At 38.9% G+C, this 20,405-nt stretch overlaps 1 protein-coding gene across 17 annotated transcripts in view; it reads right to left on the reverse strand.

Moving 5' to 3' along the window:
• The window catches only part of CLHC1 (clathrin heavy chain linker domain containing 1), a 60,017-nt gene that overhangs the window by 9,349 nt on the left and 30,263 nt on the right, over positions 1-20,405 (reverse strand). The gene's annotated exons all lie outside the window — the stretch shown is intronic.

Below are 20,405 nucleotides of genomic sequence, written 5' to 3' on the forward strand. Positions count from 1 at the left end.
AAACTTTATCTAAATGACTAAATATCACGTGCCATGTGAAGATGGAGGCAGAGATTGGAATGATCTGCTACAAGCCAAGGGAGGCTAAAAATCGCTGACAACCACCAGAAGCTAGGAGAGAGGCATGGAATGGAATCTCCCTTAGAGCCTCCAGAAGGAATGAACCCTTGACACCATGATTTCAGAGCTCTGGCCTCCAGAACTGTGAGCGAATATATTTTTCTTTTAAGTAATAGGGTTCTGCTGTTAATGAGGCCAATTTGCTATGACCGAAGAGAACAAAAGGTGCAGCTGCAGATACACAGAGGATAAAATTCCTAATGCAAACTATCCTGCTTTAATGACCAATCAAATGAGGCAAATATAAAACTGGACATTTAAAGGAATATACTTAGTCTAACATACCCTAACTTTGAAAATAATTCAATGAGGATGACAAATTAGGATCCTGAAATTTACATGTAGATTCAGCCAGTGACCAAAAAAGTATGTCAATCCCAAATCAGCATGACTACAATTCATTTTTTATTAAGCTGTATGTACACTCAATGCTTGAACTTGCAGGGGAGGAAGACTGTCAATTTGAACTCTTAATTAATCCATCAGATTATTTTCCTTTTTGTGAGCAGAAAATAAATTTACCACCATATCTTATTTCCTAGATTTTTCTTTAATTCTCCTCCTCAAAGTCAAGTGAGACAGTTTAGAGAGAACTACTGGATATGGATGTCTTGGAATTTAGAGAACAAAAAGACCAGAGCCTGATATTTGCCTGGAAAGTTTAAAGGTGAAAGGCTAGAGTGAGTAAAGAGAATTAAAGTACGAGCAAATTCTACTTTCACAAGATTGCATGTTCCTTAAGGGTGAAGGAGATTCCATGAAAGGCGGGTAGGCTGGTTGTCTTGAAAAGGCTCTCTCAGAGAGGTCTGCATGCAGACCAGATAACCCCACCTGAGAGAGTCTTTGGGGGTACACACCACCAGAATCATTAGCAGCCAGCTAAAGTAATACCTCCTGAATCAATAAAAGGCACAATGGAAAGTCCCCAGTGAGGGAAGGCCCTAAAAAACAAAGACTAAAGCAGTAAACTAGGAGGCAACATTGGGCATCTACCACACCCAAGAAACATCAAAGCCTAATGACCACTGCACCAGTTGAGTAAGACCTTTCCTGTCCCTTATATAACCCCACTGTAAAGCTGCCTAGTGATTAGAAGAGGAGAGAGTAGCAGAGTAAAGAAGAAGCAAACATGTCTCCTGAGCCTCAATAGGTTCTAGAGCCAAATCAGAGCCTAACCAGGGTAAGGGGAAAAATTTTAGATTAAACAAGAGATTGCAGTTTCTATTTAGTTTAGACTAGACTTTTGGGTACCTAAAAATAAAACTATTAATATCTAAAAGCGAGTGAAAAAAAGCTATGTGACATGACCAAGATATTATCCAGTAAAAGAAATAGGAACGCCAACACAGCCCTTTTAAAGGGCAATGGCGAGGAAGAATAAAGTTGTTTCTTGCTTTGTACTCTGTCAAGTCTAGCTTGAACTTTAGACTCTATCAAGTCTAACTGATCTATGATCCAGTTTCATAGATCAAAGCTTGGTAAAACCAGGTATGAAATAAAAAATAGATTCTGCGTCCGATTGAGGGTCTACTAATGAAATGTATGGATTTTCACAAGATAATATATAATACCTATTTTTTATTGTTCACAGACTTTTTAAACTTACTTCTCAACTCTCAGATATACTGTATTGTAAAGAAAATTAATTCTGAATAAGTGGCATGGTGCTAAAAACCCCTAAAGCTTGTATAGTGCTTTGAAATTATCAGCTGGTCTTAACCAATAACCCTAACAAGGTGGGTATCATTAACATTCCTAGTTTTCTTTTCTTTATTTCTTTTTTTGAGATGGAGTCTCGCTCCGTCGCCAGGCTGGAGTGCAATGGTGCGATCTCGGCTCACTGCAACCTCTGCCTCCCAGGTTCAAGCAATTCTCTTGCCTCAGCCTCCCATTTAGATGGGACTACAGGTGCGTGCTACCACGCCCGGCTAATTTTTGTATTTTTAGTAGAGACAGGGTGTCACCATGTTGGCCAGGATGGTCTCGATCTCTTGACCTCGTGATCCGCCTGCCTTGGCCACCCAAAGTGCTGGGATTACAGGCGTGAGCTACCATGCTCGGCCTGTTTTCTCTCTTTTCTTTCTTTCTTTATTTTTTTTTTTTTTTTCGAGACAGGGTCTCACTGTGTTGCCCAGGCTGGAGTGCAGTGGCACGATCACGGCTCACTGTAATCTTAACTTCCCAGGCTCAGGTGATCCTCCCACTTCAGCCTCCTGGGTAGCTGGGACTATAGTAATGTGCCACCACGGCCGGCTAATTTTTTGTATTTTTTGCAGTGACAGAGTTTCACCAGTTGCCCAGGCTGGTCTTGAACTTCTGGGCCAAGCAATCTGCCTGCCTCAGCCTCCCAAAGTGTTGCTATTACAGGCATGAGCCACCACACCTGGCCAACATTCCTGTTTTTCAAGTAATAAAACTGAGTTTCAAGTAGATAAAGTAGCTTGCTCAAAGAACACAATGCAAGTGTATAGTAAAGATAACATTGAAACAAAGATATTGTGCCTCCTATCCAACATTTTATAACATTCTATCTTCTTCATGTTTTGTGATAAGTTAAATATATATACATTTACACACACATATGATGGCAGAAGATGAAAGATTTCTTAGGCCAGGCGCGGTGGCTCACACCTGTAATCCCAGCACTTTGGGAGGCTAATGCAGGTGGATCACAGGGTCAGGAGTTCGAGACCAGTCTAACCAACAGGGTGAAACCCTGTCTCTACTAAAAATACAAAAATTAGCCAGGTGTGGTGGCACCTGCCTTTAATCTCACCTACTCAGGAGGCTGAGGCAGGAGAATCGCTTGAACCCAGGAAGCGGAGGTTGCAGTGAGCTGAGATCGTGCCACTGCACTCCAGCCTGGGTGACAGACTGAGACTCCATCTCAAAAAAAAAAACAAAACACACACACACACACACACACACACACACACACACACACACAAAGATTTCCTATACCTACTATAGATTAACAAGATTCACGACAATTCAATTAGACTTTCAGGTAAAGACGGTAGACTGAACACACACATTCAATTTTAGTTCATTAAAATCATTAAAATAATGGTAAAGGGATTTCATAAGAATAAATTTAAAAGGAAATAACAAAATTCTGAAAGCCAGAAAATAGAGAGTAGAAACTAGCATAGCAGACGCAGAGCCTTAAAAGTTTGATTCCTAAACTACCAATAAGGAAAACCAAGAAGAAGCTATCCAATTCACACCAAACAACACAGAAAGTCTCAGGAATTGCCAGCACCGGGAACCTCTGTAATGAGATGGGCTAAAACTAGAAATCATGGCTGAAAGGCTATTTAAAAAGCTATTCCTCACCCAGTCAGATGATACCCCCTTCCAGGACCTAGAAAAAGCTGAGGCTTATTCTCTGAAAAAGATAAAACAAAAGGTGTCTACATGAAGACAACAGGCACAGTTGAGGGTAGAAATACCAAACTATTAATATGCCTTTTTTGAATTTCCAGAGAACTTTCTTCATATCACTAGAATCACTCTACATGTAAGCTCCGTGATGCAAATCATTTTTGCAGGTTTCATTTTCTGCTGTATCCCCAGCACCTAGAACAATGCCCAGCACATATTAGATAATCAATTTTGTTGAATGAAGAGTAAATGAATAAACAAATGAATGAGCTGGCTCCACACTTGTCTGCCTCTTTATCTCTCTTCCCAATTAGTCCTTTATCTCATTGAAAGGATTGGGTCTTACTAATCTTTGTATCTTAGTACCTAGGTCATAACAGTTTAATCTACAGTTAAAAACAGTCTATTTATTAAAATTTTCTGAAAATGTTATAGGAAAATACTGCTGTGAACATTATTTTATTAGAAGTTCTGCTTCTACCAATGATATCTTTGAGCTTTAATATGTCTTAAAAACTAGGTTTTATACAAACTTTTAAAAACAGAAAGCAATTGTCTAAAAAATAAGTATTTTAAGATTTAAGTAATTTTAATTGATTCTAAGCTATCAAACTTGAGATGGGCCTTTAAAGATCTAAGACTCTGAAAACATGACAGTGTGGCTCACATGGACTACTATTCCTGGCTATATCTTTCCCTCTCCTTAGATAAAATAAAACAACCTACATCCACAGGGGAATGAAGTCTGAATTTCAGTTATGTATGTGATTCAGGAAGTCAAAGCCAACAAATTAACAAAGATCAGCTTCAGGCTGTTGAAACATTAGAGACCAGGCAGAGACAAACATAAAGCCTTTCCAGAGAATACACAGTAATCCCACAGTGGGGAAGAAATTAAGCTCACAATATTATCAATGTAAAAAGCTTACAATATTATAAATAAAAATTATCAGTCACACAAATCAAAGCACATCCATGAGCATGAGTTAGGATACCCAATAATCTGGAGAATTTATATACTTCAGAACTACAAACAACTGACTATAAAAGAGAGTATAAAATATCTATGTCTGGCTCAGCACAGTGGCTCACGTCTATAATTCCAACACTTCAGGAGGCCAAGGTGGGAGGAATGCTTGAGCCCAAAAGTTTGAGACCTGCCTGGGCAACACTGTGAGATGTCATCTCTACAACAACAACAACAACAAAAACACATTAACCAGGCATGGTGGGTATGCCTATACTCCCACCAGTATAGGGAGCTACTTGGGAGGCTGAGGTGGGAGGATCACTTGAGCCCAGAAGGTCAAGGCTGCAGTGAGCTGTGGTCACACCACTGCACTCCCACCTGGATGACAGAGTGAGACCCTGTCTCAAAAAAAATTATATGTTTAAAATTATTAGAAATATTAAAGGTAGAAATGGAAGCCATAATAAAGATGAACAGATTTTTAAAACAAGCAGATTTGAAATGTTCTAGAAACAAAAGATATGATCATTGAGGTGGCACTACAAATTAGTGGAGAAAGTACAGACTTTACATAAATAGTACTAGAACAGAGAAACTATATATTTAAAAAAATAAGGCCAGGCGCGGTGGCTCAGGCCTGTAATCCCAGCACTTTGGGAGGCTGCAACAGGTGGATCACCTGAGGTCAGGAGTTTGAGATCAACCTGGCTAACATGGTGAAACCCCGTTTCTACTAAAAACAACAACAAAAAAATAATAAAAGAAATTAGCCAGGCATGGTGGCATGCACCTGTACTCCCAGCTACTCCTGAAGCAGGAGAATCGCTTGAACCCGGGAGGCAGAGGTTGCAGTGGGCCGGGATCGCGCCATTGCACTCCAGCTTCGGCAACAAGAGCAAAACTCCATCTCAAATAAAATAAAATAAAATAAAATAAAATAAAATAAAATAAAATAAAACTGGGCCAGGCGTGGTGGCTCACGCTTGTAATCCCAGCACTTTGGGAGGCCAAGACAGGAAGATCACTTGGACTCAGAGGTTCCAGACCAGCCTGGTCAATATGGCAAAACCCCATCTCTACCAAAAATACAAAAATTAACTGGGTGTGGTGGTGCATGCCTCTAGTCCCAGCTACTCAGTGGTTGGGGCATAAGAATCACTTGAACCTGGGAGGAGGAGGAGGTTGCAGTGAGCTGAGATCAAGCCACTGCACTCCAGCTCAGGTGACAGAGCAAGACTGTCTCAAAAAAAAAAATTATTAAAGAAAAATACTGAACTCCCAAATCATACTGAACACAAAAACAAGTTTCAGGTAGCTTAAAAATCAAATGTAAACAGCAAAACGATGATATTTTCAGAGGAGAAAAAAGAAAAATGACTTAGGGTAGGGAAGGACTTTTACATAATACATAAAAATAATTAACCTCAGAGGAAAAGACTGATAAATTCCACTACATTAAAATTAAAAACTTCTGTTCATCTTAAGATATCATAATGAGAAAAGATTTTTGTAACTCATTTTAATTAACAAAAGATTAATATTTATAATACATAAGTAACTCCTAAAAATCATTGAGAAAAATATAGACAATCCAGCAGCAAAATGGGCAAAAGATCTTAAGTACTTCACAAAATGGGAAATCCAAATACAAAGATATATATGAGCTGAGTGCAGTGGCTCACACCTGTAATCCCAGCATTTTGGGAGGCCAAGGTGGGAGGATGGCTTAAGGCCAGGAGTTTGAGACCAGCCTGGGCAACATAGCAAGTCTCCATCTGTACAAAAAATTTTTAAATATTAGCCAGGCGTGGTGGCTCACAGCTGTAGTCCCAATGACTAGAGACGCTGAAGTGGGAAGATCACTTGAGCCCAGGAGGTTGAGGCTGCAGTGAGCCATGTTTGTACCACTGCACTCCAGCCTAGGTGACAGAGCAAGACCCTGTCTTAACAAAAGGGTATATGTGTATACATATATATGAAAAGATACTCAATTTCACTGGTAATGAGGCAAGTTCATATTAAAACCATAATAAATTTACATGACCACAAGAATGATAAACATTTAAAGGTCTAACACTACCAACCATTGTCAAAGATATAGAACATAGGAAATCGCATACGTTACCATTGGGAATATAAATTAATACAAACACTTTGGGAAAATGTTTGTTATTATCTTCAAAAGCTGAAGATATGCATACCTTATGACTCAGAGAGTTCAATCTTAGATACATATCCCAGAGAAGTTTACATACATGCACCAGGATATATTTTCATAGCAAAATTGTTTATAATAGCCCCAAACTAGAAACCACCTACATGTCAATCCACCGCAGAACAGATAAATACATTGTAGTACATTTCAATCTAGAAGATTTAAAATAAACCACAGCTACATGTAGAAACAAGGCTAAATTTCACAACTAATGTTGAGTGAAAAAAAGACATAAAACAATATAATTATAAGCAATAGTATAATTCAGGAACACATGCAGGATTAAAGAATATATGCAGTATAATTCAATTCACATTTAAGTGCAGTGGATTACAAGGATGTGATCCAGCTGCCTATCTCAGTAAATATAAAAGACATATTTTTATTTTCATAATTTCCTTAAGACACAAGTGAATATTTAAGGCAAAAATAGTAACAATGTATATGATAATAGCACAAAAGAAGAAAGGTGATGGTAAGGTTCATGCATTATATGTAGAGTAGTAAATTATTAATTCAAGGTAGACTCTAGCAAGCAGTGAATATTATAATCCTTAGAATAACAACTAAAACAATAATACAAAGAAGTGTAGCCAAAAAGCCAAGATAGGAGAAAAGAGGGAATTCTTAAAAACTACTCAATTAACACAATATAAGATTGAAAAGAAGAAACTAAGGAACAAAGAACTGATGAAAATAATTGAGAAAAATATAGCAAAATGATAGGCTTAAGACCAAATATATCAATAATTTTGTTAAATAGTTATTATGTTAATTATGTTTAGTCATAGCAAATGAACTAAACTCTTGCTTCTGGCATGAAACCAGATAAAATATATAAAATAACAGCCTTCAAGTCATTGGACATAAGGCAGTGAAGGATAGTGATCCTTGAAAGATGGGAGAAAAAGATCAAGGTGAACCCAACAATAGCCTCAGTTTACTGCCTGGAGAAAGTTTCCAAGCCAGAGTACAAAGATGGAGAAGCCAGTTAGAGTCTGAGTTCCTGAATTGAGGACACGGAGCTGGAAGTCTGGTGAGGTCAATGCATATAAAGATCATAGGGCAGAGTACCAGAAGAAAGAGAGCTGCCTAGGGTAAGAGCTTCAGAGATCTGTACAGCGTTCCCCACAGGTCATCAGCTGAGTACTGATTAGCACATACCGGTGAGGAAGCTACCTAAGGCCAGGGAAAGAACTATTCAGAAGGATTAGAGGGACTAATCCCTAGAGTTCAGAAATAGCTGAGAATAACTCTTCCACCAGAATGGCAAACTTCATAATCCTCAGGTATGAGGTAGAATATTCAGAAGGGTTTTGCTTCCAACCAAACACTGCTCCAGTCCTGCCTAACAAAATTTGAAAACAAGCTCCAGAAGGATCACATTGCTTCCAGGTAACTTACCTATATCCCAGAACAAAGGTTAAGAAGAGTTTACCAAAATTCAGCACCATTAAGGTAAAATTCTTTTTTTTTTTGAGACGGAGTCTCACTCTGTGGCCCAGGCTGGAGTGCAGTGGCGTGATCTCGGCTCACTGCAAGCTCTGCCTCCCAGGTTCACGCCATTCTCCTGCCTCAGCCTCCCGAGTAGCTGGGACTACAGGCGCCCACCACCACACCCGGCTAATTTTTTTGTATTTTTTTAGTAGAGACGTGGTTTCACCATGTTAGCCAGGTTGGTCTCGATCTCCTGACCTCGTGATCCACCTGCCTCAGCCTCCCAAAGTGCTGGGATTACAGGCATGAGCCACCATGCCCAGCCTAAAATTCTTAATGTCTTGCATCCAATCAAAAATTTAACTTGCAAAAAAGCAAGAAAATATTACCCATACTGAGAAAAAAATGTAATAAATCAAAATTGACATGATAGAATTTGTAGAAAAGGATATTAAAAGTTATTATAACTGTATTATTTCACACTTACGAGGGAGAGGAAAGATGGAATATGTTAAGTAGAGACATGAGCTATATAAGAGAAACTCAAATCAAAGTTACAGAGATGAAAACTACAATGTCTGAAATGAAAAATACACTGGATGGGATTAACTGCAGATTAGATACTGAAGATTAGTCAATTTAAAAACAGCAATAGAAAATATCCAAAATAAAATGTAAAAGACTAAAACTTGGACAAAGAATAAATGAGCTGTAGGACAACTTCAGGCATATAACTGACATCCCTGAATCGGTGAGTGGGGAGAAGGGAGGCTGGGGCAGAAACATATTTGAAAAATAATGGCTATGTATTTTCATATATGAGGAAAACCATAACCCACAGATCCAAGAATCTCAATGGACTCCAAGCATAAGAAGCATGAAAATAAAACTATACTAACACTCACAATCAAAGTGCCAAAAAAAAAGTAAAAATGAGAAAATCTTAAAAGTAGTCATAGAGAAAAGACACATATGTACGGAAGTACAAAGATAAAGATGAAATAACATTTCTCGGCAAAAGTAATGCAAACCAGAAGACAGTGAAACAAAATCCTTTAACTACAGAAAAAGTCTATCTAGCATTCTATACCTAGTAAAAATACCTTTCAAAAGCGAAGGTAAAATGTAGAATTTAAAAGCTGAATGAATTTGTCACCAGCAGATCTGCACTAAAAGATTAAAGGTAGTTTTAGCAGAAGTAAAATGATGCCAGATGGAAAAATATACATATGTTTTTGCAGACGGAGTCTCTCTCTGTCACTCAGGCTGGAGAGCAGTGATCTTGGCTCACTGCACCTCCACCTCCTGGATTCTAGTGATTCTCCTGCCTCAGTCTCTCAAGTAGCTGGGATTACAGGTGCAGGCCACCATGCATGGCTAATTTTTGTATTTTTAGTAGAGACGGGGTTTCACCATGTTGGCCAGGCTGGTCTCGAACTTCTGACCTTGTGATCTGCCCACCTCAGCCTCCCAAAGTGCTGGGATTACAGGCGTGAGCCACTGCGCCCAGCCAGAAAAATAGATGTACACAAAGAAATGAAGAATAGATACGGTATATGCTATGAATGTAAGTATTTAGATGTGTAGTGTTTTTATTCTATACATCAAGTGGTATAATATCACTTGAGAATAGAATGGAGTAAGTTAAAGATACAATCTATAAAACCTACAGCACAACCAAAATAAGACAATAATGAGTTATATAGCTCCTAAGTCAACAAAGGAGAAAAATATTCAATTAATCCAAAAGAAGCCAGAAAAAGTAGAAAAAAGGTTTCAAAAAAAAAGAAGAGATAAGAGAAATGGAAACAAAATAAAACACACCAGTGAAGTGTGGTGGTGTGGTGGTGCACACCTGCACTCCCAGTTACTCTAGAGGCTGAGGAAGGAGGATCCCTTGAGTCCAGAAGTTTGGGTTGTAATGCACTAAGATTGTTCCTATGAATAACCACTGCACTCCAGCCTGGGCAACATAGCAAAATCCTGACTCTAAAAATAAATAAATAAAAACAAAACAAACATGTCAACAACAACATTAAATGTAAATAATCTAAGCACCCCAACTAAAAGGCAAAGACTGTCAGATTGTTGTTGTTGCTGTTGTTGTTGTTGTTTTGAGATGGAGTCTTGCTCTGTCACCCAGGCTGGAGTGCAGTAGTGTGATCTTGGCTCACTGCAACCTTTGCCTCCTGGGTTCAAGCGATTCTCCTGCTTCAGCCTCCCGAATACCTGGGATTACAGGCACTCACCACCATGCCCAGCTAATTTTTGTATTTTTAGTAGAGACAGGTTTTCACCATGTTGGCCAGGCTGGTCTCGAACTCCTGACCTCAAGTGATCCACCCACCTCGGCCTCCTAAAGTGCTGGGATTACAGGTGCACTGCTTCTGGCCTCAAATTGTATTTTTAAAAAGTAGGATCCAAGTATATGTTGCTTAGAAGAAACTGATCTTATATATGAAGACACTAATAGATTAAAAGTTAGAGGACTGAAGAAGATAAACCATGCTAATACTAATCTAAAGAAAGAAGGAATCACTCTTCTGATTTCAAAACTTACTACTAAGCTACAGTAATCAAGATAGTATACTACTGGCGTGGGGTGGACATCTAGAGCAATGGGATAGAACTGAAAGTCAAGAAATAAACTCTAAATATTTATAGTCAATTGATTTTTGACAAAGAGGTCAAAATTCAATGGATACAAAGTATTTTCCCAACAAGGTGCTGGGAAAACCAGATTATCCTTAAGCAAAAGAATGAAACTGGACCCCTACCTCACATCATACAGAAAAATTAACCAAAAGTAGATCATGTATCTGAATGTGTAAAACTCTTAGAAGAAAACAGGAGTAGATCTCTGTGACTTTTTTTTTTTTTTTTTTTTGAGATGGAGTCTTACTCTGTCACCCAGGCTGGAGTGCAGTGGCATGATATCAGCTCACTGCAACCTCCGCCTCCTGGGTTCAAGCGATTCTCCTGCCTCAGCCTCCCGAGTAGCTGGGATTCCAGGTACCCGCCACCACACCCGGCGGCTAATTTTTGTATATTTAGTAGAGACAGGGTTTCACCACTTGGGCCAGGCTAGTCTTGAACTCCTGACCTTGTGATCCACCCGCCTCAGCCTCCCAAAGTGCTGGGATTATAGGCGTGAACCACCGCGCCTGGACAGATCTCTATGATCTTAAGTTAGGCAAAGATTTCATAGCTACAACACAAAAGGCAAAGCCATAAAAGAGAAAATTCATAAGTGGAACTTATCAAAATTAAAAACTTTTAACTTCAAAAGAAACCAGTGAAACACTTTTTTTTTTAAATTAAAAAGAGTGAAAAGACAACCCACAGTTGGGAAAAAAATATTTGCAAATCAAGTATCAAATAGGGTTTTAATTCAGACTATATAAGGAACTCTTAAAACTCAATAATAAAAACACAAAAAACACAATTTACAAATGAGCAAAGGACAGACATTTCTCCAAAGAAGACATACAAATGGCCAAGAGACAAGTGAAAAGATGCCTAACATTACTAGTCATTATGGACATGTAAATAAAAACCACAATGAGATACCACTTCACACTTATTAGAAAGTCTATAATCAAAAGATAGATAAAAACACACCCTGTTCATAAGGAACCCTTATACATTACTAGCAGGAATGGAAAACGGTGCAACCAAACAGATTAGCAATTCCTCAAAGTGTTAATACAGAGCTACCATATAATTTAGCTTGGCAATTTCACTCCTAAGTCTCTACCTAAAAGAAATAAAAATATGTAACCACACAAAAACTTGTATACAAATGTTCATAGCAGCATTATTCATAATAGCCAAAAAGTGGGAAAAGCCCAATGACCATCAACTGATGAATGTATAGACAAAATGCAGTACATTCATACAATGGAATACTATTTAGCCATATAAAGAAATGATACATGCTACAGCATGAACAAACCTCAAAAACATTATGCTAAGTGAAAGAAACCTGTAACAAAAAGACCACATAGTGTATGATCCCATTCACACAAAAGGACCAAAGCAGGTAAATCTATACTGACAGCAAATAGATGAGTGGTTGCCTGCAGTTTGGAGAGGAAGAAGAGGCCAGGGAATGAGGAGTTAATGGGTACAAAGTTTATTTTTGTAATGATGAAAATGTTCTAAAATTAGGTTATGGTAATGGTTTCCCAACTCTGTATTACAGTAAAATCATTAAATTTTGTGGAGTTTTTCCCACAAAGGCAACATATTCATTATACTAATAGAAAAGAACAAAACTAACATAATCCTCTCAATAAATGTAAAAAAAAAGTATTTGACAAATCTAATATCCATTTCTGATCAAAGTTCTCAGCAACCATGAATACAAGAGAATTTCTTCAACCTCATAAATGGCATATATGAAAAACCTATAGCTAATAATTAATAATGAAAAACTAAATGCTTTATCCCTAAGATCATGAACAAGGCAGAAATATCTCCTTTTATCACTTCTATTCAAAACTGTATTGGAGAATTTAGCCAGTACAATAAAGCAAGAAAAAAAAAAAGTCACCCAGATTTGAAAAAAAGTAAAACTGTCTTTATTAGCTGATGACATGATCACTTACACAGAACATCCTAAGAAAGCCACAGAAGTACTAGAACTAACAAAGATTTAGCGAAGTCACAGGATACAAGACCAATATACAAAAGTCAACTGAATTTTTTTAAATCTCTTTTTTAAAAATAGAAACTGTATATCTGTATATATTTAAGGTCTACAACACGATGTTTGATATACATAGTGAAACGATTAATATGTCAAGCTAAATTAACATATCCATTACCTCTGTGTGTGTGTGTGTTTGTGCATGTGTATTGAGAACACTTACACTCCACTCTCTTAGCAACTTTTTTTTTTCTTTTTTTTGGGGGATGGGGTATCATTCTGTCGCCAGTCTGGAGTACAGTGGTGTGATCATAGCTCACTGCAGCCTCAAACTCCTGGGCTCAAGCAATCCTCCTGCCTCAGCCACCCAACTAGCTGGTACTACAGGTATGTGCCACCATGCCTAGCTATGCAATTTCGATTATGCAATATAGTATTATTAACTATAGTCAACATGCTGTGCATTTATCCTACATAACTCAAACTTAGTATCCTCTGACCAACATTTCCCTATTTCCCCCACCTACCCTGTCCTTAGTTACCACCATTCCACTCTCCGCTTCTATGAATTCAACTTTTTTGGATTCCACATATAAATGAGATCATGTACTATTTGTGTTTCTGTGCCTGGCTTAGTTCACTTAGTATAATGTGCTCCAGGTTTATCCATGTTGTTGTATCTGATGAAAGAAATTAAAGAAGACACAAATAAATGGAGAGATATGCCATGCTATGAACTGGAAGAATTAATATTGTTAAAATATCCAGGAAGGCAGAGCAAGATGACTGAATAGAAGCCTCCAGTGATTGTCCTCCCCACAGGAACAACAAATTTAACTGTCTACATGGCCGGGCATGGCGGCTCACACCTGTAATCCCAGCACTTTCGGAGGCCAAGGCAGGCAGATCACTTGAGGTCAGGAATTCGAGACCAGCCTGGCCAACATGGTGAAACCCCATCTCTACTAAAAATACAAAAATTAGCCAGGCATGGTGGCAGGCACCTGTAATCCCAGCTATTGGGGAGGCTGAGGCAGGAGAATCACTTGAACCCAGGAGGCGGAGGATGCAGTGAGCCGTTGCACCACTGCACTCCAGCCTGGGTGACAGAGTGAGACTCTTGTCTCAAAAACAAACAAACAAACAAACAAAGAACAAAAACAAAAAAAACTACCTACACAAAAAAGCACCTTCATAAGAACAAAAATCAGTTGTGTAGTCACAGCACCTGATTATAGCTTCATGTTACTGAAAGAGGCACTGAAGAGGGTAGAAAGACAGTATTGAATTGCCAACTCACCACTCCCCCATCCTTTGGCAGTGGCCACGTGCCATGGAGAACCTGTGCTTGGTGGAGGAAGAGTGCAGTGATTGTAGGACTTCGCATCCGAACTCAGTGCCACCCTTCCACAGTGGAAAGCAACATCAGGCAGAACTCAGCCAATTCTCATGCAGGAAGCACTTAGACCAGCCCTAGCCAGAAGAGAATCATCTATCCCAGCAGGTTGGAATTTGAGTTCTGGCAAGCCTCACCACCACAGGCTCAAGTGCTTTGGGGTCCTAAATAAACTTGAAAGGCGGTCTGCACCACAAGGACTGCAACTCCTAGGTAAGTACTAGTGCTGTGCTGGACTCACAGTCAGTGGACTTGGAAGGCATATTACCTAGTAAGAAATCAGATGATGTGGCCGAAGGAGTGTTTGTGCCACCACTCCCCCAACCCAGAGAGTGCAGCTCACAACTGTGAAAAAGAGTCCTTCCTTCCACTTGAGGAGAGGAGATGGAAGAGTAAAGAGGACTTTGTCTTGCAATTTGGATACCAGCTCAGCCATAATAGCATAGGAAACCAGGCAGAGTCATGAGGCCCCTATTCCAGGCCCCCCAAACTCCGGGACAACATTTCTAGACACACACTTGTCAGAAGGGAAGCCACTGTCTTGAAAGGAAGGACCCAATCCTGGCAGGACTCATCACCTGCTGACTAAACAGCCCCTTGGGCCCTGAATGACCAGCAGCAGTAGCCAGGTAGTACATGCTGTGGGTCTTGGGTAAGACTCTGAGATATGCTGACTTCAGGTGTGACCCAGCACATTCCCAGCTGTAATGGCTATCAGCTGGGTGATCAGCTTCTTCTTGAGAAAAGCAGAAGAGTAAAAAAGACTTTGTCTTGCAGCTTAGGTACCAGCTTGGCCATAGTGAGGAAGAGCACCAAGCAGGCTATTGGGGTCCCCAATTCCAGCACTTCGTTCTTGGATGGCATTTATGGACCTAGCCTGAACTAGAGGGGAGCCCACTGCCCTGAGGGGTGAGTTTCAGGCCTGGTAGCATTCACCACTAGCTGACTGAAGAGGCTTTGGGCCTTGACTGAACATTGGTGGTAGCCTGGCAGTACTTCCTGTGGGCCTGTGGCAGTGCTATCCGTAGGGAGAGACTCCTCTGCCTGCGGGAAGGAGAGGAAAAAATAGGAAGGACTTTGTCTTATGGTCTGGGTCCAAGCTCAGCCATAATAGAAAACAGTGCCAGGTAGATTCCTAAAGTTTCCAACTCTAAACCCTGGCTCCTGATGGTATCTCTGGAGCCACCCAGGCCTAGGGAACTCACTACCATGAAGGAAAAAAAACAAGCCTGGATGGCTTCACCACCTGTTGATTGTAGAGCCCTAGGGCCTTCAGCAAATGTAGGAGGTAGCCATGTAGTGATTACAGTGGGCCTTGGACAAGACCCAGTGCTGTGCTGGCTTCAGGTCTGACCTACTACATTCCCAGAGCTGGTGACCACAGTGGTGCTTGTGTTCCACCCCTTCTCCAGCTCCAGGCAGCTCAGCACAGATTTGATGCAGTCTAGATCACAAGGACTGCAACTTGGAGAGACTCCATTTTAGGGGAGAAAGTAATGGAAAAGAACAAGAATTCTCTGGTAATACAGAGAATTCTTCTGGATCTTATCCAAAACCGCAAAGGTGGTACCTCTAATGCAGATATGGTTGCAGTAACCAAAAATTTAGATCACAACACCCAAGTCTCCTTCAATATCTGGAAAGCCTTCCCAAAAAGGACAGGTTCAAACAAGCCCACACTGTGAAGACTACAATAAATACCCAGTTCTTCAATGCCCAGACACAGATAAACAGCCACAAGCATCAAGACCAACCAGGAAAACATGACCTCACCAAACAAACTAAATAAGGTAACAGGGCCAATCCTAGAAAGACAAAGATATGTAACCTTTCAGGCAGAGAATTCAAAATAGCTGTTTTGAGGAAACTCAACAAAATTTAAGATAACACAGAGAAGGAATCCAGAATCCTATCGGAAAAATTTAACTAAGAGATTGAAATAATTAGAAAGAGACAGGCATAAATTCTGGAGTTGAAAAATGCAATTGACATGCTGAAGAATGCATCAAAGTCTCTCAGCAGCAGAATTAATCAAGCAGATTAGTGATCTTGAAGCCAGACTATCTGAAAATATACAGTGAGAGGAAACAAAAGAAAAGAGAATAAAAAAGAATAAGGCACAACTTCAAGATCTAGAAAATAACCTCAAAAGTGCAAATCAAGGAGTTATTGGTCTTAAAGAGGAGGTAGAAAGACAGAGATGGGGTAGAAAGTTTATTCAAAGGGATAATACCTGGCTGGGTGTGGTGGCTCACGCCTATAATCCCAACACTTTGGGAGGCTGAGGAGGGTGGATCACCTGAGGTCAGGAGTTTGAGACTGGCTGGACCAACATGGCAAAACCATGTCTGTACTAAAAAATACAAAAATTAGCTGGGTATGGTGGCACACCTGTAGTTTCAGCTATTCAGGAGGCTGAGCCAGGAGAATCGCTTGAACCCAGGAGGCAGAGGTTGCAGTGAGCCGAGATCACACCACTGCACGTGAGCCTGGGTGACAGAGCATGACACCGTCTCAAAAAATCCAAAACAAAAAAAAGGGATAATACCAGAGAACTTTCCAAACCTAGAGAAAGCTATCAATATTCAAGTACAAGGTTATAGAACAGCAAGCAGATTTAACCCAAAGAAGACTCTCAAGGCATTTAATAATCAAACTCCCAAAGGTCAAGGATAAAGAAAAGATCCTAAAAGCAGCAAGAGAAAATAAATGACATACAATGGAGTTCCAATATGTCTGGCAGCAGACATTTTAGTGGAAACCTCACAGGCCAGGAGAGAGTGGCAGGACATGTTTAAAATGTTGAAGAAAAAAAACATTTACCCTAGAATAATATATCTGGCAAAAAATATCCTTCAAACACGAAGGAGAAATAAAGACTCTCCCAGACAAACAAGCTGAGGGATTTCATCAACATCATACTTGTCCCTTAAGAAATGCTGAGGTGGCCAGGTGCAGTGGCTCATGCCTATAATCCCAGCACTTTGGGAGACCGAGGTGGGAGGACTGCCTGAGTTCAGGAGTTCACAACCAGCCTGGGCAACATGGTGAAACCCCATCTCTACTAAAATACAAAAAACTAGCTGGGTGTGGCAGGGTGCACCTGTAGTCCCATCTATTTGGGAGGCTGAGGCAGGAGACTTGCTTGAACCCAGGAGGTGGAGGTTGCAGTGAGCTGAGATCATGCCACTGCACTCCAGCCTGGACAAAAGAGTGAGACTCCATCTCAAAAAAAAAAAAAAAAAAAAAAAAAGAAATGCTGAGGGGAGTACTTCAATCAGAAAGAAAAGGATATTAACGAACAATAAGAAATTAAAGGTACAAAACTCACTGCTAATAGTAAGTTCACACAAAAAAGGCAGTATTATAACACTGTAATTGTGTGTAAATTACTCATATCTTAAGTAGAAAGGCTAAAAGATGAACTGATCAAAAATAATTACTACAAAAACTTTTCAAGACATTGACAGTACAATAAGATATAGATAGAAACAACAAAAAATTAAAAAGCTAGGGGACAAAGTTAAAGTCTAGAATTTTTATTAGTTTTCTCTTTGCTTGTTAGTTTTTTATTTGTTTATGCAATCAGTGTTGTAATCAGTTTATAATAATGGGTTATAAGATATTATTTGCAAGTCTCATGATAACCTCAAATCAAAAAGCATACAATGGACACTCAAAAAATAAAAAGCAAGAAATTCAAACATACCACCAGAGAAAATCATCTTCACTAAAAGAAAGACAGGAAGGAAGGAAAGAAGGAAGAGAAGACCATAAAACAACCAAAAAATAACAAAATGACAGGAGTGAGTCCTTACTTAATATCAAGTGAATGTTAGCAGACTAAACTTTCCAATCAAAAGACATAGAGTGGGCCAGACACAGTGGCTCACACCTGTAATCTCAGCATTTTGGGAGGCCAAGGCAGGAGGATTACCTGAACCCAGGAGTTCAAGATCAGCCCAGGCAACATGGTGAGACCTTGTCTCCACAAAAATTTAAAAAATTAGCCAAGTGTGGTGGTGCATGCCTGTGATCCCAGCTACTTGACAGGGTGAGTGAGATGGTAGGATCACTTGAGCCCAGGAGGTTGAGACTGCAGTGTGCTGTGTTCATACCACTGCACTAAAGCCTGGGTGACAGAAAAAGACTGTCTTAAAAAAAAAAAAAAAAAAAACAGTGGCTGAGTAGATAAAAAAAAAAGACCCAATGATCTGTTGCCTACAAGAAACACTTCATCTTTAAAGACACATATAGACTGAAAACACAGGAATGGAAAAAGATATTCCATTCAAATGGAAACCAAAAAAGAGCAGAAGTAGACAAAATAGATTTCAAGACAAAAACTATAAAAAGAGACAAAGAAAGTCATTATATAATGATAAAGGGGTCAATTCAACAAGAGGACATAACAATTGTAAATATATATGCCCCTAACACTGGAGTACCCAGATACATAAAGCAAATATTATTAGTGCTAAAGAGAGAAATAGACCCCAATATAATAATAGTTGGAGAATTCAACACCCTCACTTTCAGCACTGGACAGATCATCCAGACAGAAAATCAACACAGAATCATCAGACTTGATCTGCACTATAGACAAAATGGATCTAATAGATGTTTACAGAACGTATCACCCAACAGCTGAAAAATACACATTCTTCTTCTTAGCACATGGGTCATTCTCAAGGAAAGACCATATGTTAGGCCACAAAGCAAGTATTAAAACATTCAAAAAATTGAAATAATATCAAGCATCTTCTCTGATCACAGTGAAATAAAACTAGAAATCAATAAGAAGAGGAATTTTGGAAACCATACAAATATGGAAACTAAACAATACGCTCCTGACTGACCATACACAGGTCAATGAAGAGATTAACAAGGAAATTTAGAGATTTCTTGAAACAAACAATAATGGAAACACAACATACCAAAACCTATAGGATAACAATGAAAGCAGTACTAAGAAAAAAGTTTATAGCTATAAGTGCTTACATCAAAAAAGAAGAAAAACTTCAAATAAACACCCTAATGATGCATCTTAAAGAACTAGAAAAGCAAGAGTAAACCAAACCCAAAGTTTTTAGATGAAAAGAAACAATGAAGATCAGAGCAGAAATAAATGAAATTGAAATGAAGAAAACAATTATAAAAATCAATGAAGAGTTTAAAAAAAAAAAATTGACAAATCCTTAGCCAAACTAAGTAAGAAAAAAAGAGAGAAGACCTGAGTAAATAAAATCAGAGATGAAAAAGGAGACATTACAACCAATACCACAGAAATTCAAAGGAGCCTTATAGGTTACTATGAGCAACTATATGCCAATAAACTGGAAAACCTAGAAGAAATGAATAAATTCTTAAGACACATACAACCCACCAATATTGAACCATGAAGAAATCCAAAACCTGAACAGACCAATAAGTAATGAGATTGAAGCTGTAATATAAGGTCTTCCTGAAAAGAAAAGCCCAGGACCTGATGGCTTCACTTCTGACTCTACCAAACATCTAAAAAAGAACTAATACATATCCTACTCAAGCTATTCCAAAAAATAGAGGCAGAGGAAATACTTCTAAACTCATTCTACAAGTCCAGTATTACCCTGATACCAAAACCAGACAAAGACACATCAGAAAAGAAAACTACATGTCAATAATTCTGATAAACATTGATGCAAAAATCATCAACAAAATACTAGCAAACCCCAATAACACATTAAAAAAATCATTCATCATAACCAAGTGGGATTTATCCTAGGGATGTAAGGATGGTTCAACATACACAAATGAATCAATGTAATGTATCCTATATCAACAGAATGAAGGACAAAAACCATATGATAATTTCAAGAGATGCTGAAAAAGCATTTAATAAAATTCAACATTCTTCATGATAAAAACCAGAAAAAAATCTGGGGATAGAAGGAATATACCTCAACTAATAAAAGCCATATATGACAGAACCACAGCTAGAATCACACTGAATGGGAGGAAACTGAAAGCCTTTCCTGTAAGATCTGGAACACAACAAAGATGCCCACTTTCACCACTGGTATTCAACACAGTACTGGAAGTCCTAGTTAAAGCAATCAGACAAGAAAAAGAAATAAAGGGCATCCAAATTGGAAAGGAAGAAGTTAAATTATCTTTGTTTTCTGATGATGTAATCTTATATTTGAAAAAAAAAAAAAAACCTAGCTGGGTGCGGTGGCTCATGCCTGTA

This window comes from Homo sapiens, chromosome 2 (genome assembly GCF_000001405.40).
Source record: "Homo sapiens chromosome 2, GRCh38.p14 Primary Assembly".
Lineage (NCBI taxonomy): Eukaryota > Metazoa > Chordata > Mammalia > Primates > Hominidae > Homo > Homo sapiens.